Consider the following 22,106-nt stretch of genomic DNA (forward strand, 5'->3'; position numbering starts at 1 on the left):
TGTGAGTCTGTGACAGGAAGTACTCCCAACCAAGGAGAGCTGGCCATGCACAGAGCCTGCTCCTGCTGGAGGGTGGAGGCCAGGAAGAGTCCAACCAGACAATTTGCCTTCATCTCTCTCCGAAACCACTCCCTGCTTCAAATACCCACAGTGGATTAGCCTCAGTAATGACAGTCTAGAGTCACTGGGAGTGCCCCGTCCGCTCCAAGGTGGGGAAACCATTTTGCCATGATGCAGAAATCTAGCTGATCCCCCCCATCAGTAGCTGGGGTGCTGCAGGGAGTCCCCATTCAGGGTGCTGAGTCCCCAAGAGGAAGCACACTAGTTATGCAAAGGTACTTTCAGCCATTTGGTATGCAAGTAGATTAGAAGCCTGCTGCAATTATTTTTCAGTGCATTTAAAAATATATCCACAAAGATGGGAAGGTTAATGGCTGGGCACTAACTTCCTCTTGTCATTGCCCCCTCACTCTTTGAACAACTCAGGACTATCGTGAAAGACTTTCTTGGTCAGGCTGAATCCAAAGTTGAAGGGGTTAAGTGGCCAGTCCATGCAGGTTGTAAGGGAAATAGCTGGGGATGGGGGGACCACAAGGCAGGCTCCTGGCTCCAACACTTGCTGAGTCTCGGGGCGCCCTCGAACACCAAGCATTAAACACCACTGAAATGTCTGCTCCTCAGAGGATCACTGTAAGGATTGACTGCAAATGTGCACACAGTGTCTACCCATGGGTAAGAAACTAACATTTTTGAGGACCTCCTTAAAGATGGGATTAATTCATAGTGGGGAATATAATATTAGCCATGTTAACAAAAGTGATATTGGAAACCTTGCTAAATTGCTTCTGAAGGCAATACTAGTACATTCTGTAGCAAATGACAGAGGGTTTTTTTTTTTATTTTTTACTTGTAATCTAACTGAAATTCTCTAGTTTGACATCTTCCTTTGGGGATAGAGTTTAAAATTGTATAAGAAAGATAACTCATGCCAAAATAAGGAAGCATTCTACTTATCTGGAATGACTAGACTCTGGCTGATTAGTACTGGTTAATTGTGGTTAAAAAGGAAAAAAAAAAAAAGAAAAGGCTGGGCGCGGTGGCTCACGCCTGTAATCCCAGCACTTTGGGAGGCCAAGACGGGAGGATCACCTGAGGTCAGGAGTCTGAGACCAGCCTGACCAACATGGAGATACCCCATCTCTACTAAAAGTACAAAATTAGCTGGGCGTGGTGGTGCATGCTTGTAGTCCCAGCTGCTCAGGAGGCTGAGGCAGGAGAATCGCTTGAACCCGGGAGGTGGAGGTTGCGATGAGTCAAGATCGTGCCACTGCACTCCAGCCTGGGCAACAAGAGCGAAACTCTGTCTCAAACAAACAAACAAACAAACAAACAAAAAAAACAGAAAAAAAAGAAAAAAAGGTTAATTTAGGCAAAGTACAATATAGTGGAAAAATATAATACAGACATTGGATTTTAGGAGACAGAATATTCTCATTTCTACCTAGGGGAAATTTAAAAGTATTCTTTCATCACTGATCTTAATGAAATGAAAGAATTATTTCTTTCTAAGTTGTACTCTGCTACTTCGAAAAAGGATTTGCACTTCCTTGGACGGAAACGGTCCATATGTTGTGGATCATTAAATCAGAAATGACTCACTGCTCACCACTGCATCCCCTGGGCCTGGGCCCCAGGCCTCCTATCGCCTACACGAGCAACCGATACTTGTTTCACAAATGAATGAACGAATGAACGAATGAATGAAAGACACAGGGAAACTGCGGAGCAACGGGATGAAAAGCAAACACACCAGGGGAACAGAAAGAGTTGCTGGGATAAAGCCCTCTATTGAGCTGCAAGCATCCTGACAGCTAAAGGAAACATGAAACATTAATGGAGTCCAATTATCTGCCAAAGGGGACCAGACAAAAGAGTGGCGTGAACTGTCAGAGCATGGGGAAGGCGAAGGCCCAGAATAGCTGAGATTTGAAAAATTACAAAGGATGACAATGGCTTTTTCAGTTCTGCTCCAAATAAGGACCAGGAGGGAGAGGTCTGCTGCTTGCCTAACACACTGGGGCAAAACAAAGAGAACACAGGCTCCTCAATGCCTTTTTTGTTCCTATCTTCCTTATTAAGACAAATGATCTTCAAAGTGGAAAGGAAGGAATAAGCACAATTAAAGGGAAACCACTGTCCCAGGCAGCGGGGGCAACTGTAGGGATTCGATCTACTGCTTTCAAGGCCAAGGAAAACTCAATCCCTACAGTTGAAATCTTGGTTTGAGCCACTGAACGATCGAGGAATCAAAAAGAAAGAAAATACTGGTGGACTTGGATAAGGAAGGAGGGCTAATCTAGAAGCAGAATAGTAGAGGGATGAAATGCTTAGAGGCCAGAGCCCACCAGTCTGGGTTCAAATCCCAGCTCTGCCACTCTCAAGGGCTGTGATCTGGGCAACTCCCCTACTTCTGGCTTCAGTTTCCTCAGTTTCCCTATAAATATGGAGATAATAATTGTGCCTACCTCATAGGATAGGTAGATTCAATGGGTTAAAATACGAAGCATAAGTTCTTAATAGGTTAGGAACCTACTACTATAGCTGGAGAAGTCACTTAAACATGTAAGAAACAGAGATGAAGGTAAGAAATCATGACATATCTAATAAACTATACTATCATAATTTAACTGTAGGTTGCAGAATAATCATTAATGACATGTACAAATGCTATTATTTGGTGTGGCATGACTCCATTTCCATAAGGCAGAAATAAAATATGGGCATTAGTTATTTTGTGGGAAAAGGATTATAGATGATTTTTCTCCTAGCTTTTCTGCATCTCAACCCGAATAGAAGGTATTTAGTGTCTGGGGTGGGGGCAGTCACAGAAATCACAATTATCATCAACTTTGGCATCAGTGTGCAACCGGAGACCAACATTCACTACTTTTCAGGACTATGCTGAGCGTTTCAGAAAAAGAAAGTTACCCCTGGAAATAGCACAGTTTCACCATGAGAAAATGATACTAACAAAAGTTACTTCTGCACAGATACAGTTAGCCCCCCATATCCACAGATTTAACCAATTGAAGATTGAAAATATTAAGAAAAACAGAGTGTACTTGCACATGTACAGACTTTTCTCTTGTCATTATTCTCCAAATAATTCAGTGTAACAACTATTTCCACAGCATTTACATTGCATTAAGTATTATAAGTAATCTAGAGATGATTTAAAGTATAGGGGAGAAAATGTGTAGGTTATACGCAAATACTATGCCATTTTACATCAGGGCCTTGAGCATCCTTGGATTTTGGCATTTGCAGGAGGTTCCTGCAGATATCAAGGGACAACTGTGTACACACACACACACACACGCACACATATATATATAATGAATAAAATCTTCAAGATTTTTTGTGGATAACATAGTAAAAGATGAACTAGATAAGAGGACATTAGAGGAATCATGACACAATATGCTGTCTTCCTGCTTGAGTTCCTGTTCTCTCATCAATCATGCCCTCATCCAAACTGCTGCCGATATCTCATGAATGGCAAGGCACAGCAGGAAGACAGGGCGCTAGGGACCGGTTTCTACCTTTGCTTGCCTAGAGTAACCAGGACTTCCCACAAGAAGGGGAGAGGCAGGGGCTCAGGACCTTTCTGGAGTCCACAAGTCTATTAATTGCATGTGAGTTCAGGAATTCATTAAATATCTATGAAGTATGACTTCAGACCAGGCAGTATAGTAGAACCTTGTGGTATATACCAGGCAGTATATATGTCACAGTAAGAAAGACATGTGTACTGCCCTCAACAAATCTATGATCTAGGGAGAAAGGGAAAAATACAATATATAAAATAATGCTCGCAACAGGCAGCTTATACATATAGGTGTGTGCAGGGTGGCTCCTCTAAATTAAAACCTGAGATGGACTTTGGCTTTGATTCCCATCCCACCACTGAGTTAACACCTGTCTGTGACTTCTGGGCAAGTTATCAAACCTCTCAGCCTCAGTTTTCCCATCTGTAGCTCTGATGAGGAAGATAAGACATGCAGGGAGGTTCTAGCACAGGCCTCAAAGTCATCATCAGCATCATTATTTTTGCCAATAATTATGCATGATGGGTACATGCAAACGAAGAATCTAAAGTGCAAAGTGATTCCTAACTTACCCCCAGTCAAAGAGCATTGCTGGAAGAGACTAAAAGACAGAAAAACAGCCAGCCCAAAGCCAGGCTATGTCCCTCGGCACCTAATGTTGCTAAGAATGGCTTCTTGGAGGAAAAAAAACAAAATTTTTTCTTGATCTATTTTACCTTCTCTAATAATTGGCATTCTTTTCTAATTTTGGTCTTTTCCTCTTGACAGTCTCTCCACTAAGAAATTGGTGCTTCTGAAATAGTCCATTCTCCAATCTTTTTTCTACACTTCCCCTGTTACTAGAAAGGAAAGCATTGCACCAAATACATTGCTACAAATTAAAGCTGCATGCCTATAACCAGTATTTCTGGCTTAAAGAAAACCAAGAAAAGAAGCTAAAGAAACTAAAGTCAGAAAACAGCCGTAATGGGTTGGAGAGGACCCCTGAACTCCAGAGCCTGAAAGACATTCCTCAAGTCAGGAGTTAAGTGTTTGTGTAGGATGTCTCCAACTGAGAGAATGAACTACTTACACTTCCTGGGTTATGACTCCAGCAATCAAGGAAAATGTTTTGATTCCAGCTCAGGAGGCTTTACTACGACAATCACACACACAGCCCTGTTCTCCAGACGGAACAAAGGCATGATGAATGTGTGTGCTTTGCAGGCATGGGATTGGGGCGCCCGAGGTACACACGATGCAGAGGAGACAGACACAGAAGGCACAGAGGCTGGAAGAGCAGTCTCCACTTTCAGGCAGGACCATAGCCTGCCCTGCCCACAAGGCTAAAGCAACCACACCAGCAAGGAGAAAGGGAGACCCAAGCAGTTGCAGTCAGCAAAGAAGAGAAGCCAGCTGGAGCAACAAAGTGTCTCTGGCCAAGCAGAAGACAAAAAAAGCTGGGCAGAGACTCTGCAATGCTTCTGTTATGGAGAATAGAGGGAAGTGGGTGGGTGGGACCACTTCGTCTGTGGTCAGAAACTCTGCAATCCTGGCTCATGCCTGTAATCCCAGCACGGACAGATCACCCAAAGTAAGGAATTCAAGACCAGCCTGGCCAACATGGCGAAACCCCGTTTCTACCCAAAATACAAAAATTAGCCAGGTGTCATGGCACATGTCTGTAATCTCAGCTACTTGGGAGGCTGAGGCACAAGAATTGCTTGAACCTGGGAGGTGGAGGTTGCAGTGATCCAAGATAGTGCCACTGCACTCTAGCCTGGGTGTCAGAGCGAGACTCTGTCTCAAAAACAAACACACACCACCAAAATCAGAAACTCTGCAATCCATCACGAGGCCACTGATACCAATACAAGAGTAGGGGGCTAGGGTCGATTTGTGACGGGGTATTTGAGGGGACTAAGGACATGCTAAAAATGAGTTTTGGGCTCTCTGCCAAACTCTCATAGAGTGGATCTCTCAATAGAGTGAATGACCTTGAATGACTCTGGCCAATAACTTAAATTCTCAGATCCTGTCTCCACCCAAACTAGGCTAGGTGAGATCTCACAGGATGAAGAATCTGTGGTGTGTGCAGCCACTCATCCCTCACCTACCCACAGGCTGGCACTGATTACTGAAGCCTGTCTTCCTGGGGATGAGACCTCAGACTCCCCCAAGCACTGAACTCAGGGGTCTCAGAGCACCTGTTAGTAGGAAAATTCTGCAGTTTGGTGAGTACACTGTAATGGCACAATCATTCATTTCAAATATTTAATTTATATTACTTTTTTTCCATTGTAAGAATAACTACATTATAGGTACATTGAGAAACTGCAAATAAGCCAATAACAAAAACACATTTCTCACCCCAAGAGGAATGCCATGATAGCAGATAGACTGTCAATCTCTAAAAACTTGACAATGAATGTCTTCCTTCCCTCTCTCAGCTCCTAACCTCTCTGCTATTAGGAAGCCCCCAGATCCTGAGAGCTTTAGGCTCTCTCCCTCCCCGTGCCTGGGACACACCTCTGCATCCTCCCAGGGTATGATCCACTGGATGTGTCCCCCACCACCTGCTCAGACCATGACTTCTCCCCACTGCCTACACACTGCCTCGTCCTCAAAGATCTACAAATATTCTTGGGAAATAAATCAAGAAAAATACTCAGAGTGAAATAAGTCAACTTCCTCAAATTTCAAACTCATCATCTATTCATTTTCCAACTAGTGGTGCCACAAATTGCTCCAGACTGATGTATCAACATCAAAACCACACATTACTGATAGCAAAACACCCTATCTCTTGACAACTGCAAAACCTTTGAGGAAGGCATTATCCTGGATCAGTAAGTTTTCTAGGGAGTGAGAGTAACACACCTTCCAGCAAGAGGACCTATTTTCATTTTCCCTCTTGTACATGTCGTACGTCATCCTCTTGGCTGCTTTCTTTCTTAAGCAGGGGCAAAGAATATAACGCAACCTTTACTGACTTCAGTCCTCTCTCTGAGCATGATTGATGTCCACTGGGCTAATGAGGTGTAATGCTATTTGCTCCTAGGTAAATGGACTTACCCTGCTGGACTCCGTGAGTTCTAATGGCTCCTTTTGCTGGCCTCTCTCTTCCAATACTATACCGCTGCCAAAACCAACTCTTACTGAGGTGAACTTACAGGAATTTCCAGGGTCTTTTGTTCCTTCCTGTCTGCTATAGGTTTAGATAATAAACATTCAAAGTTCTGTCATTGTATTTTTAAATAAAATGAAAAATAATAGTAATTATATTTTTATTTTCATTATGAAAAATTGTTACATTTGTTCAAAATTTTTAAATGCACAATATTACAAGGTGAATAAAAATCACCCATAATCCCACCACCCAAATTAAACATCATTATATAAAACATATATTGTGCTCTTATTTTCTCTTTCTACAAAATTGGGACCATACAGTACCGTAACCTGTTTCCCTGTTTTTTTCACTCAGTAAATCTGAGCATCTTCTCAAATTACTAGATATTTAACATATTTTAAGACAGAATAATAGTCTATCATCAGTGTATGTAATGTTTATCTGATCAGTCTTGTCTTTCCCTATTTCCTTTATTCTAGGGGAATATGCTATTGATTGAATTGAAATGGATATACATGCACACACATGCACACGTCATTGAAATAAATTCCTGGAATTGATGGGTTTAAATGTATGACCTTTGCAAGGCTTTTGTTAGACAGTAGCAAACCGCCTTCCAGAATTAGACCCACTTCTTCGCACTCACCAGCAAGAGTTACTTCTTAAAGAGGGCACACCATGGCAGACATGATATCCTGTGCTTTACAGACGCCTCTTTCCAGTTCTCACAACAACTTCACAAAGAAGGCACTGTTGTCCCATGTTATAGACAAGGAAACTGAGGCTCAGTACACAAGACAGCAGAGTTTCAAATGAAACCAGCACTCACTGGCAGCCTCTCAGGCTGTTACCACTGCACCACACGGCCCACTAAGCTCATGAGCCTTTGGGAGCTCTCTACAGAGTCAACTCTATCTGCTTTTGTACACAGACTTCAACATCTCTTTTTCAACCCTTTGGGCATCTTTACTCAATTGGGTTCCTGGTGAGAGGCATGGCCAGGAATCTCTGCTTGGGTTATGAGCAGTAACAACAATCAGACAAAATTTGCCTAAAACTGAGAGGCCAAACTTCTAAAAATAAAACTTCACATCTCAAAAATATTGTTAAGGAAAAAACTAAATATAGCATTACCCTACAATCCAGCAATTCCACTTCTAGATACATACCCCAAGGATTTGAAAGCAGGAACTCAGACCCTTGTATGTCAATGTTCACAGCAGCACTATTCCCAACAGCCACAAGGTGGAGGCAACCCAAGTGTCCCTCCCTCAACAGATGATGGAAAAATAAAATGTGGTCCATCCACACAATGGAATATTATTTGGCCTTCAAAAGGAAGGAAATTCTGGCACATGCTACAACATGGGTGAACCCTGAAGACATGCTGAGCGAAGCCAGTTACAAAAGGACAAATAGTGTATGGTCCCACTTACATGAGGTACTAAGAACAGGCAAATCAAGTGACAGGAAGTAGATTAGAGGTTACCAGGGACTGGGGAGAATTATTGCTTAATGGGTACAGAGTTTCTGTTTGGGGTGATAAGAGTTTTGGAAACAGATAAATGGTGATGGTTGCACAACACTGTTCACATGACCAATGCCACTTAATGTACACTTATACAAACGACTAAAATGGTTAATTTTGTTTTATATATTTTTAATAAAGAAAGGTTTTTTCAAAATCGTCAAAAGTAATTCCAGCTATTGCAAAACCACCCCCTTTCAAAGAAAAGTACATCCCTCTCTGCTGTGTGCTGCTAAGAAATGTGGGATGCATTTTTAGCAACTGTCACACAAAAATAAGCTGCTTACATTAGTTAGGAACAAGGTAATAAAACAGGAGCAATAAATCCTCTTTGCCAGATAGCAGTAACAGGTCAAGGAAAGTCACAGCTAATCTTTTATTCTAAACATCAGGTTCCATGCAAGGATCCAGGCCACTCTGGATCAAACATACCATGTAAAGCTACAGCCTATGATGGCAGCATCTGATTATGCCTCGAAAATTAAGGAAGCAGGAAAGAACCGCACTGTATGTTTGTTAGATTTGGTCATAGGTCCCAAAGCATCTCGTTAAAAAGAATCCCCAAAGTTGAACTTGGTGTCAGGCACAGAGATGGGAAAGGGAAGGCACTGACTCCTGTAGGCTGTGCTGTGGGCTGAACCACCCCCACCCCACCCCAGGGAGGGAAGGAGCCTTTGTACCCAGTGCCAGGGAGCTGCAAGCCCCAGGTCCATTCTGCACAGACTCACAGGGCTGTGAACACGCCAAGAGGGAGGATGAACACTCTGCACTTGGACCCACTTAAAAGAAGGATCTGTGTCTTTCTGTTCCATCTAACAGCCCTCAGAGCACAGGCTTCCTTGATTTCCAGCTCAGTTGGTTTCCATTTTTCTTGTGAAATGAGTATCCAGAATCAGACACAAACACATCATGCTTTCCTTTTTTGTAAACTGCCTGCTCATGTTCTTTGCCAGTTTTTCTATGTAATTGTTTATCTTATTTTATTTATAGGATTTTTTTTACATAAACAGGATACTAATACTCTGCATGTTACATGCATTTTTGTATGTACATGCAAGAAGTTACAAATTATTCTCCCAGGCTGAAGTGCGCCTTTCAGCATGTTAAATATCATCTGTAACGTCTACATAGAAATATGTAATGGTAATACAGTCAAATTTACCATTTTCCCTTTATGGTTGTGCTAAGTCTTATTCACAAAAGTCTTTCTTAGCCTAAGAGAATAAAGATTCTCACTATTCATTAATTCTTGTCATTCAAACAAATAAAAGGCATTTTGTTCTTTCACTTTTAATTATTTAATTGGCCTGAAACCAATTATTGTGTAGAATACGCAGCAGGGTTCCATTCCTTGCCACCCCATGTGAACAGTCATGGTTCCTGTAATCTCTGTTCTGCCGTGATTTCACTGTGCTGTATGTTTCCATAAATGTGTGGGTCTCCTTATGGGATATCTATTCTGGTCCTTTGGTCTATTTGTCTGGCCTTGAACTAACAACATCCTTTCTTAGTTGTGATACCACATAAGAGGGATTGCTATCTGATAGTGCAAATCAATCCTCCAAACGCCTTGTTGTTTTTCAAATTTGTCTTCAAATTCTTGAGTTTCACTCTTTCTTATTAAAGTTAGGAAACATTTTTCAAGTCACATGTGACAAAACTGTTAAGAATTTGGCTGCAACTGTATTAAATTTAAAGATAAACTTGAGAAAATGTGACATCTGCACTATATTCTGTCTCCTGATCCATGATCATAATATAGCTCTCCACTTACTCAGGTTGTTTTCATGCTCTGAAACATCCTATAATGCCTGGTAATCTTCCTGAATATACTCCTAGATAGCTTATAATTTTTGTTAATATTATAAGTGGGATTTCTTTTTATATTACATTTCCCAATTGTTTTTTCTTGGCATACAGGAGTACTATTCCATTTTACATGTTGATCTCACATTATATCTGCTTAGAGAATTCTTGCTCATTTTAAAAGTGCTAACATATCTGTGTAAATTTTCTATTTGAATAATTATTTGCAAAAAGACACATATTTCAGTCTTCCTTTCTAATGTTTACATTTTAGTTTCTTCATTTGCTTCTTTTATTACACTAAGACCTCCAGTGACAGCAGGCACTGCTGTCTAATTCTAGATGTTCATGAACATGACTCTAACAGTTTTCCATTATGTATGATGCAATGTTGTAGGTTTTTAACAAATGAATTTTAACAAGTTAAGGAGGTTTCTTTTCAGTACTAGTTGAGTACAAATTTTGTTATTATTTGTTATGTATTATAATGAGTGAAGAGTTGTATTAAATACTCTTCTGCCAGGTGAAATGATTATTTTTTTCCCTTTAATTCTGACATATTCAGTGTGTTCACTGTTTTATGATAGTAAACCACCCCTGCACTATTATAATAAAACCAACTTGGTCATAACATTTGTTTCATTTACATTTCACTTAAAATAAGGTACTGAATTTGGTTCATTAGTGTTTTACTTAGACCTTTTGTTCTATGTTAACATGTAAAACGGTATTATAATTTTGATTTCTTGTACTGTTTCAAAGATACACAAACATGGTATGAATTGGAGATCTCGTCCTCTGTGTAAGCTGTTGTCCTCTGTGTTTAAGAGTGTACACACTCTTAGCATGTTTAAAAAGAGAAATTGTTGGGGCCAGGCGCGGTGGCTCATGCCTGTAATCCCAACACTTTGGGAGGCCGAGGCGGGCAGATCACGAGGTCAGGAGATCGAGACCATCCTACCTAACATAGTGAAACCCTGTCTCTACTAAAAAATACCAAAAAAAATTAGCCGGGCGTGGTGGCGGGCACCTGTAGTCCCAGCTACTCGGGAGGCTGAGGCAGGAGAATGGCACGAACCCAGGTGGCAGAGATTGCAGTGAGCCGAGATCTCACCACTGCACTCCAGCCTGGATGACAGAGCGAGACTCCATCTCAAAAAAAAAAGAGAAATTGTTTCTTTCTTGAAAGTTTAATATCACTCATCTGCAAACCACTTGAGTATTTTTGAAGGTATAGTATTGATTACAATTTCTTCCAGAGCTGTTTCTCTATTACGATTTTATATTTCTTCAAGAGTCTATTTTGTTTTTACATTTTTGCAATAAATCATCTATCTTCCCCCAGATTTCCATTTTTTCGTTCACAGTTTTCTTGATGCTGTTTTTAAAACTTGCTAACGTGCTCTTACCATGATTTTCTTGGGCACCTTTTGCCCTCCTGAGTGTCTGTGCTACAGGTTTGCTGTTATGGTCGTTTTTACCAAAGACTGGTGTTTGATTTTGTTCCTATTGGTACTCTGTTTCAACAATTTCTGACTTTAATTTTTATAATTAATTCCTTCTACATTCCTTATTCTATTTCATTTCTGTAATTTCAATTTTTCTTTTTTTGAAGCTTAGAAAGTTAGCCTTACCACCTTTGCAGCATTGTATGACTTTCCACCTGTACTATGTTCACTTTCATTCAGTTCTAAATGATCGATATTTCCATTGCAATTTCCTCTCTAACTCATAAGTAAAATAAGAGTGGGTGTGTTTTAAAGTTTCCTCATGCATGTTTATGTGATTTGTTTTCAACTTTTTATGTTGACGTCTGATTTATTCACACTGGGTCAAAGAACAAGCATGAAATAGATTGCTTAAAATTCAGTGCAACTTTCTATATACCGTCAACTTTTCAAAAAGTTACACAGGTTTTAGAAAAGAATCAAGAGTCTCTGTCTGTTGGGTAGAGGGAGCTATGTGTGTCTATTAACTTGAGTTTGTTAACACTATCACGAATTGACTTGGAATTACTCCTACTATCTTATTTTGTATTTTGTTTAATATCTTTTTTCTCTTCACATCTTGTTTTTTCTTCCGTTTTCTACTTGATGTTGTTTGATTGTTGTTGTGTTTTTCATATATATTCCCTTATATCTTTTTCTGCTAGGTTGGGAACTATAGATTATATGCACATTCTTTTAGTAATTACAGTCAATACTTTAGACGCACCTAATATTTTTAAATACACAATTGATTATTCATCACATATTATTTTCCCATATGTGCCCTGTTTCCCTAGTATCCACATTCCGTCTTCCTCAAGAAGTACTTTTCATCATTCTTCTAGGCCAGGCACTGCAGCTCACACATGTAAACCAAGCACTTCCAGTGGTCGACATGGGAGGATAGCTTGGGGAGTTCGAGACAAGCCTGGGAAGCCTAGCAAGGACCTATCTCTACAAAATTTTTAAAACTAGCTGGGAGTAGTGGCGCACACCTGTAGTCCCAGGTACTCGGGAGGCTGAGGCTGGAGGATCACTTGAGTCTAGGAGTTCAAGGCTGCAGTGAGCTACGAGCTGCTCTCCGGCCTGGGTGAGAGAGCAAAACTTGGTCTCTTAAAAAATAAAAATAAAATAATAATCATTCGTTTGGTGAAGACTACCAGTGACACATTTTTTTCTCAATCTTTGCCTGAGAAAGCTTTATTTGGCCTTCCCTAGTCAGTGATATGTTGGCATAACATTGTAGATGGATGGTTATCCTTCCCCCTGCATCCTGCACTTGGGAGTACACTGCATTGCCTTCAGGCATTGCCCAGGGTGCCCAAGTCTTGCCTCATTTTGTCTTGTTGTGTTTCATAGTTTCTTGCCTTGTCTTACAGACATTATTCTTTCATGCATCTGTCTGAGCATTATAAACACATATTTCAAAGCCATGGTCACACTTTTTTTTGTTGCATATAGGCTAAATTGGTAATCTCTTGGTTTTGTTAGCTATACCATATTTCTTAGTATGGGACTGCTTCATGTGCTTTTGGAATGCTGGTTTGTGGATTGTTTTGTTTTTCTTTTCCTGCCTCCCCCTCCCCACTGAGTGGTCAAGTCGGGACAGTCTGGAGCTGCTGCCTCATGGAAGACTGCAAGGTTGCAGTCTGCGTCACTGCACTGGGAGGCTGCTTGGGTTAGCTCTGGCTGCAGGGCTGCATCCACTCTGTCTGGCTGCCTGGCCATGAGTTCACATGCACTACAATTCCTCCCAGGCAACGGCCCTTTTCCAGCATCTTTTGAAAAGAGGGGAGCCCCACCACAGCTCTCGGCTGGATACGGTGGGCCTGGCTCTGGCCCTGCTTCCCCAGTCACTGCCGGAGAAGGGAAAGCGCAGCCCTTTGTATTCCCTAGGACCTAGGCCAGCAGCACCCATGCCGCTTTGGGAGCCACAGCCCTGAGGAGACAGCACTATTCAATGCTCTGTGGACATGCCTGGGTCTGAGCAAGGCTGAGTCCTTTTGGCTTTCCCATTTTACATGCTATGTGTATGTAAAATGATTGAGAGGTGGCCAATGTCAAGGGTGTGCTTAAAGGTATCAACCCTCTGGTCACGGAGCAGAGGTAGGGTTCAACATAGTGACGTGTTCATCCATTCCTTTAAGCCCTGTTTCAGGTGTGGGGATACATCCAAGACTCAGTTTCAACTGCATACGGTGTAACTCCACATCAGGGAAGAGAACCAGCTCTCTTCTACACAGAATGTGCTCCACGTTCTGTGCTGCAAATGTCCCTTAATTGAACTACTTTGGTATCTGTAGAATATTTGAGTGTACAATTTAAAGACAAAGGATAAAAGGTAAGCCTTAAAGAGTTCTTTCAGTGTAATTTTTTCTGGTTTCCTAATTCAAGTATTAACCTAAGTTTTTATATAAGCATTAACACCAAGGCTTACATTATTTCCATTTAAATGAGATCACTTGTGAGCATACAACGTAACACGTTAAAATTTTCTTAAGCTTTGAAGTCAATACTAACAAATTGGTACCCTTTCCCCGCATCATGTCACTTCAAAGTTTTCTAAAAGATGATCCCAAAATTATGCTTGCCACAGAAAACCTTGACAGCTTTTATGAATCTTCTAACAATTGAGAAAACATTGCTTTGACTTCATGGTCAGATCCCAGCTTTTATTTTTATAGTCAACCTTTCTCATTAAGTAATTTAAGAAAATCTGAATATTCACATTCCCACCAGCTCTAGGACCTGTGATTTACTGTACTTAAACTCTCCAATAAGCCAAACAACGTGCCACACGCACATTTCATTCTATTTAATCCTCAGGCTCCTCATCCTACGGCAAAGCTTCCATTTATTCAATCTAATTTCCTAAGTAGTCTAATTTTCTAAAGGTAGTTCCCTTTCATTCCTTTCCCACAATGACCTCATCAGAAATTAAATATTAATAGAAGGAACAGAATCACAGAAAGGTAGAGAAAGACCAAGAGTACATGCACCCAAAACCGTCTTAATTGGAAACATAAAAATGCCAAAATCAAGAGGATTCACCTTGGAGTACCCTTCAATAGGTGACATCAAGTTGCCTTTCGGCTGAAACCTAGATAACTCGTATGAAACTGATCGTGAAGTTTTGCTCACTGAAGTTTGCTAATTGAAAGGAAATACATGAAGATATCAGAACCAAGGATCTTTCTCTATTTGGGAATTCACTGTCCTTAATGAGAAAAGAAGAACCAATGTTAGAATTGTAATCTATTAGTGTCAAGAGCAACATTTTAGAATATCAGATCTGGGCACTGCTGCAAAGCTAGAACTGGGAGTGTTCTTGTGTTTTGCTCATTCCTTACCCTGGTGATTCGCAAGTCGGTCAGACTGTGCGGGGAGTCCTGGTCCTGCCGGGTCTTGTTGACTGCGAGGTGTCTGCTCCACCTTGTCCTAAAAAAACAGGACCGCAGCAGAAAGGCTGTGAGTTCACAAGAAGCATCCCACTCTTTTCAACACCCAGCTTCCCCAGCATTTCCTTTCTTCCTCAATTCCTTACTTCCTTTCCACTTACTTACTTTTTCCATTTTCAATGATAGTTGTTGAAAACAGACTGCATAAGGGAAGCTAATCATGAAAAGGTGCAAGCTGTTTGGCAAAGGAGTTAAAAGTTACTCCTGTGTTTGGGCTTAAATAGCTTTCCCTGAATAGCAATTCAAAGAGAATTATTGCCAACTGCTCCAATTTAGGCAGTGAATAGAAATAATTAACATTCCATGGAACACATGCATTTTCTGTAACAACTACAGGTAATCAAGTGCTGGGCGTTCTATTACCTGGGACAGAAACATCTAGAGAGTGTTTTATAAATGGTTCCCTCTACAAAATGTTAAGGAGCTCAGTGGCATTTTTTTAGACATTAGTGTGAGAACAACACTTTCAGGCAAAATGTAAAACAGCAATATTATGATCCTAAGCCCATAATTCTAGAAACACACCTGCATGGGACCAGAAGCCAATGAAAGATACATTCAAATGTGGGGAAAGAAATATTATCAGTGACTAACTTGGGGTAGAGAGATGTCTGTTTTCTCTTATAGATTTATAAAAATCTTTGACATCTTTATGATGCATATGTACCACTACTGTAATTAGAAAGGTTTGAACTGTGCCAAAAGTATAAGATGTGCCCCAGAACTACTAATATTAATACATTGTCACAAATATCATAGTTGACTTCAGCAAATTCCCTCCTATTCATGCAAAAGAGACCTTCCAGATTGCAAACTGAAGCACGTGAAACATCCAACATGCGAGGTGCTGGCGACAGCCAACATGCACACACAGCTCCCTCTGCCAAGCGGGGCTCTCGCCACAGAGGCGGCCACTGAGGCATGGGAAGGTGAGTTACCCTCACAACCCTCATCACCCAGTGGGTCCCGGCTGTTCTGGGTCTCGAACTACAGAGTCCACACTCCTTCCCACCACTCTGCAGTGCCCAAACTGCCCAAGAAACTCAAAAGGCACATTGATTTCAACAAGGTGCCCAAGCAGCAGGCCTTGGGAATGTGACTCTTAATTTCTGCCTGAATGCTTCCCAGCAAGCAGTTTCTCTGCCCAGAGCCCTCCTTGCTCACGCATGAAATGGGATGGATGCTCACTTCTCTGCTGCGTGCACACTGACCTGGGAGCAAACAGGTTTAGGTCTGGTCAACGCTGTGCTTCACGGACCACTCACAATGGGGGGAAGCAGAGGGTAGCCCAGGGGACAGACTCCAGCAGGGTCAGCTCACCCACATCTACCACTTAGAAGGAGGATGTTTGTTCCCTGGGAGGCAAAGTTGCGTTCACACCTTCCTCCAGAATATCTGGAGAAAACAAAATAAAACGAACAAAGCCCTAAGGAAGGGAGACATTTTCACCAGCTTCTCTCTTTTTCCCCTTTCAAAAGAAATAGCTTTCTTTTCATTTTTTAATCGCAGATGTAAAACTTGCTAAGTATAAAAATTTATATTTTTGTATGCTAAAAAATGAACAAAAAATTAAAACGGAACCTCTCTTTTTATCAGAATAACAAAAACAAAAACTACCATGTGCATCTGTGCAATGTTTGAATTATTTGTAGAGAACATGCATACTCTATTTGAGTCACATGGGGATTACAAATGATCCTGATAAACACTGAATCATAATTATCTTCCACATATTGTGTTTTAATATCGTTTTTGAAATTTTTCAGGCCAACAATCATCTCCATCAGCACTCTAGTGTACCCCACCAAGTAGAAGTGTAGTGTAATTCATTTCACCAATATCCTACTAATGAAAATACAGGTTGTTGGAAATGTAAGCTTTCCACTAAGAAAGAGGGGAAAGACAGTTTGGAGCACACAGTGTCTGGGAGGAAAGGGCAAGGTCCCCAAGAACCTCCGCAACAGGCGCTGAGGAGGGAGCTGTGCTCCCCTGGCTATCTGAGAGGGTGGTACCTCCCAGCCCCAGCCCCTCAAGTTCAGCCATCCCCCATCTAGTTTCTGCAATTCCATGGCCAACATTTCCCACCCAGTCTGCTCTTTGGCATCTGAAATATTTTTCCTCTTTTCTGAATTTTACAACAATCCATGCAAAGAAAATTTTTATATAAATATCTAACCTAGAGTAGATAGAAAATTAGCCTAAATCATACAACAGTGGGATAATAGCATTCCCGTGGTCTTTGCACCTTTGTTGTACACAACTAGACACTGTTGAAGTGAGATTGTGTAAATAATTGTGTTTTCCTGTCCCTGTCTTCAACTATTTTAAAACTTCAGTAAATACTATTTTTTTCATATTCTAGACTACTCTAGTAGACACTCTGTAGTTGTTTTCAACTTTCAGACAGCATAAATAATGATCAAATAAACACCTTCGAGCACAAAACTTTGTCCACATTTCTGATTATTTGCTTAGGATCCCTAGAAGTAGAAGGACTAGGCCAGAGGCCACGTGCACTTTTTTAAGATTCTAGATACACACAGTCAAACTCTTCTTCACACACTCACCCTTCTACCCGGAGTGGAGGCAACCGCCTGTTTCATAACACCCAAGCCAGCCAGTGACTGTTTATTTTTCTGGAATTTTTTTCTGGCTAATTCCAGAGGTAAGCAGTGGCCCCACCCTGTGGTTTTAATATGCAGGTCTATAATGCTGAGGTTGAACATTTTTCATAAGCGAATTAGACCTTTATATTTCTTCTTTTGGGCTATCCTTTAACAGGTCAGCTAGACTAGATCCTGAGGGCACAAGGGGTTCCCAGTAAAAAATGTCCATGAATGAATCACAACCCTGATACTCATCAGCTAAGGGTTTGGGGCCAGTTACCTGGATTCTCTGAGTCAATCTGCTCATCTGTTTATGATGGAAAACAAGCCAGGCTGAGCCCTGGGTGAGCACCCATCCCTGGTGGCCCGCTGGCCTCCCAACCCTCTGTTACTGAACACCGACTTGCTTCCACTTCTCCCATGACGAGCTTTTTACGCAGTAGGCAAGTAAGTTCATTCACATTTGTAGCAAATGTTTTTCCCACTTTGCATGTCTTTAAATTTAATTATACTTTTGATTCTTAAAAGTATAATCCAATGTAGTCAAGTTTATTGACCTTATCTTTTTGGCTCATCATTTAACCGTGAAAATGATTTGCAGCTTCTATCAAGAAAACTGAAAAACCTTCATTTGTGTTTTACTCTGATTCCTCTTCTGACTTGATGTATTACTCTTTCCTCTTCCTGACATTTATTTTGGAGGATAGTAAAAGGAGAGAAAATACAATGACTCCTTCCCCCCAAAAGTAGTTGATCAGTTCTACCAGGCCCACTTAGCACCCAAGCCTTCCTTTTGTCTGATTTGGGAGGTGGTCACCCTGCTCACGTGTTATAATCTTACACACATCCAAGTGTTTCTCAGCCACCTCCTCACCGGTTCCACAGAGCTGCCCGCTCCCGGGCCGGCAATCCTACATTTTCCATTCTCACAGCCTGCCAACGTGTTTTCTCATCAGCAGAACATTTCCCCTCTTGCTTCTTTTATATGAATTCCTTAGTCATTTTCTTCCAAGCAAACATCAAAACAGTTTCAAAGTTTGCTTAAATTATTAAAACATCTCATCTGAAATATTTACTGCTATGTATGTGAATAATTACTACATACTGCTAATACAAATGTTGCTATTGGGTTGATCCCACAAGCACTGAGAGACTACATTCAGAAGACATGCTACCCCACGTATTTCAAAGGGTGGGTGGGACCAGCCTCCAGATCACCCAGGGCCTGCACAGCCCTGCTCCAGGCCTGTCCTGCAAGGAGCCCTAAGGCCCTGCAGGTTAACAAGCCCCTTGCGTGCTTCCTGTGCACTGTGAGGTATGAGGCCCATTCCTCTGTCAGATGACTGCTTTGCCCGAGACCTCCTCTTTTAAGTGCCAACCAGGCTCCACTGAGACATCTATTTAGAAGACAAGTAACTTGCAAACCTAATTTAAGGCAACCTTGTCTAAACAGTGTCACCAGATTTAGCAAATACAAATACAGGATGTCCAATTAAATTTGAATTTCGGATTAATAACTAATAATTTTTTGGTATAAGTATGTGGCAAATATTTCATGAGACTTATCCTTAAAATGTATTTGTAGCTTATCTGTAATTTAACTGGAGATACTATATTTTATCTTGCAACTCTATGCCTCAAACACTGTTAAAATCTGACAGGCCTGCATGACAAAGTATGGCAGTAAGAACAAAATTTCAACAAGTGGCTCATTTGTTTATGAAATTCCAAGGTCAAAACAGAAATGTACCTTCTTTAATTCAATAGATAGACACTTCAGACATGAAGTCTGTTGTCTTGAGAAGCCAAGAAAGATTTCATGGTATGACAAATGATGGTGATTGTAAAATAAAGCCAAAACACAAAAGGCAGCAGGGAAAAAGTTAGCCACTGTGGCACTAAAGATCATCCGGACAGAGCTGGAAGGTAAGCGGCAAATGTCTACCCACCATTCAGAGGCAAACAGTGGCGCTCTGCCAGGTGCAGGGTAATGAACACAGGGACAAGAATAAAAGGTTTATCATTGTGTTAGCTTGGTTTCCTCTCCAGGTTAGTTTTTGTTTGTCTGTGTGTCTGTTTCCCAGCCTCGCCCATTGTGGGAAGGACTGGGAAGGGAATGGGGGAGGCCCTGTGAGTCTGTTTTTTTTTTTTTTTTTTTTTGAGACAGAGTCTCACTCTGTCGCCAGGCTGGAGTGCAGTGGCGTGATCTCGGCTCACTGCAATCTCCACCTCCTGGGTTCAAGCAATTCCCCTGCCTCAGCCTCCCGAGTAGCTGGGACTACAGGCACGCACCACCACACCTGGCTAATTTTTTGTATTTTAGTAGAGATGCGGTTTCACTATGTTGGCCAGGATGGTCTTGATCTCCTGACCTCGTGATCCGTCTGCCTTGGCCTCCCAAAGTGCTGGGATTACAGGCGTGAGCCACAGTACCCAGCTGTGAGTCCGCTTTTTACTCAGAGCCCTTAATCACTATGCTCTCTACCTCTAGGGGAAGGTGAAAGGATGGGAGAGGGCAGCCAAGCTCCTTAATTAAAGTCCCACAGGTCACTTCACTAATGCTGAACTTTCCCAAATCCACATGCTTTAGAAAAACTTGCCAAAGTCAGAACAAGCCCATCCAGCAAGATCAGGGCAGAAACACCACCTTCATAAAGATGAACACGAGAAGCCCTCCCTCTCCTAGGGTGACCCAGTCCCAGGCCCTGTGCTGAGCCATCTCCTGTAACAGAGCCCTCCAGTGGGTGAGGAGAATGGTTTCTGTCTGCTCCTCCATCCTGTGCCAGGCAGTGAGTCTGCCTGAGCTGCATCGACCAACAGCTGGTCCTCTGGCCCCCAGTGGTGGGCGGCCGAGGGAGCCAGGCCAGGCAGGAACATGGCCCGGGAGGCCAGCTGGGCTGTTCCTTCCGTAAGCCACGTTTTGGGGATTGCACAAATGCCCCCTGGCCTCACTCCCTCTCCTTGCTGGCCTCAGGCTGGGACCCACAACTCAGCTGCTTTCTCCAGACCCCTCCATTAAACTCTTTTTTTTTGCTCCCCACCCCCACCCCGCGCCCTCCGGAGGGTGCCTGCTGCAGACTGCCGAGACCCTGGCTAACAGAGGCAGGTGGCTTAACTTCCCTCACTCTGTGGATTAAGGGCTGGAGGTTTCAAAGAGTACACATAAAAAGTGACTCGTGGGAGGAAGAAAATGGTGAGCTGTGCTGTGGACTGTGGGCATGCCTGTTAGGGTACCAGGTGGCCTGGTGTGGCTGGTCCTCACCTTGGAGAACATGGTAGAAATGCAGGCTCCCAGGCCCCAGCCAGAGCTGCTAAGTCAGGCCCATGATGGGGGACCCAGGTGTCTATGTGTGAACTGCCCTTCCTAATGTAACGTGGCTCATACCTCCATGGCACTCTAGGAGCCACAACCCAGCTGGTGTTCCTTGACTCCAAAGTGACTGCTGTATGCCTCTCACAGCACTCGGCCCTGGGTGCTCACTATGTAGAATGTTCTCTACCCCATCCACCATGCACACCCCATCAACCCATCCTCAAGGCTCATCCCTTTGGCACTTTCTCTGACAACCCCAACGAAAAGTCTACCTCCTCGTACCTTACCCAGCAGCCCTGCTTTAATTCCAAGCAGGAAGTAACAAGGGTGAATGGATTGGTGCCCACCCTCTCCCCAGAAACGGGCCTCCTTGACTCATCCTCACAACCCCAGCACATGGCCCAGCCTCACCCCAAGATCTTGGGGAGAGAAGCCTCTGCTTCTCTGTGAGGATAGAGGGACAAGAATGCTCCACCACCCACCTTTCAAAGCCCAGGCTTCAGCAAAAAGCATCACAAGGTAGCCTGGGCACAAAACAGCGAGGAAGCAGCCCCTACCACCAGTCATTGGCGTTCCGTTTCAACTAGAGCATCAAATGCACTCTTGCCTCTGCTGGGTACCAACTAAACACTACAAGATGCACAAGAGGAACCAGCCCCAGAGAACCAGGGTATGTTGTTCATTGGGCGATTCAGGCAGTTTTCTTATCTAAAACTGCAACACACGGATGGAGGGGCAGCGGGAAAACTGGATGAGAGGAGTGCCATCATCAGTGCGGCGGGCACTGCAGGTGACAAATGGAAGGACTGCACAGCAGGCTGGACACTGGCTCAGATCCCAGGCCCCCACATGCTGGTTAGTCTTGGGACTCAGGGCAACTGCCTCACCTTCGGGGTATCTCCACACCTTCCTGAGGCAGAACGACCACTTCATAGGTCACTTCTGAGGTTCAAATTAAAATAACATAAATAAAGGGCTTGCCCAGCAACTAAAGGTACTGAGTGTTCGGTAGACAGCGGGCACTGACCTTACTACGGAACAGAGGGCCGGCAGCTTGCATAGGAGGTCTCTCTCTCCCTCTCTCTACAGTGGGTATCACGTGGCTGTGTCCTCAGCCTGCCCTGTGCACAATATTTTCAGAACCTGGAGAACGGCACAGAAGGCACACTTAATAACTCCACTAAGGTA

The 22,106-nt window shown here is 42.6% G+C and overlaps 1 protein-coding gene across 41 annotated transcripts in view; it reads right to left on the bottom strand.

Annotated features, from left to right (window-relative positions):
- Nucleotides 1–22,106, bottom strand: part of GRB10 (growth factor receptor bound protein 10) — a 203,386-nt gene that overhangs the window by 98,862 nt on the left and 82,418 nt on the right. For 11 of the 41 annotated variants that reach the window (XM_017012061.3, XM_047420241.1, XM_017012034.2 and 8 more), the window contains one exon: nucleotides 14,892–14,979. The exons of 12 other annotated variants lie outside the window; for them this stretch is intronic. Coding sequence is in view for 15 of the 29 variants with exons in the window: in XM_047420241.1 (XP_047276197.1) it covers nucleotides 14,892–14,979 (88 nt within the window). In the remaining 14 variants the exon portion in view is untranslated. 18 more of the 41 variants (XM_047420243.1, XM_047420233.1, XM_047420244.1 and 15 more) reach the window with 6 other exon arrangements.

This window comes from Homo sapiens, chromosome 7, assembly GCF_000001405.40.
Source record: "Homo sapiens chromosome 7, GRCh38.p14 Primary Assembly".
In the NCBI taxonomy this organism is placed as follows: Eukaryota; Metazoa; Chordata; class Mammalia; order Primates; family Hominidae; genus Homo; species Homo sapiens.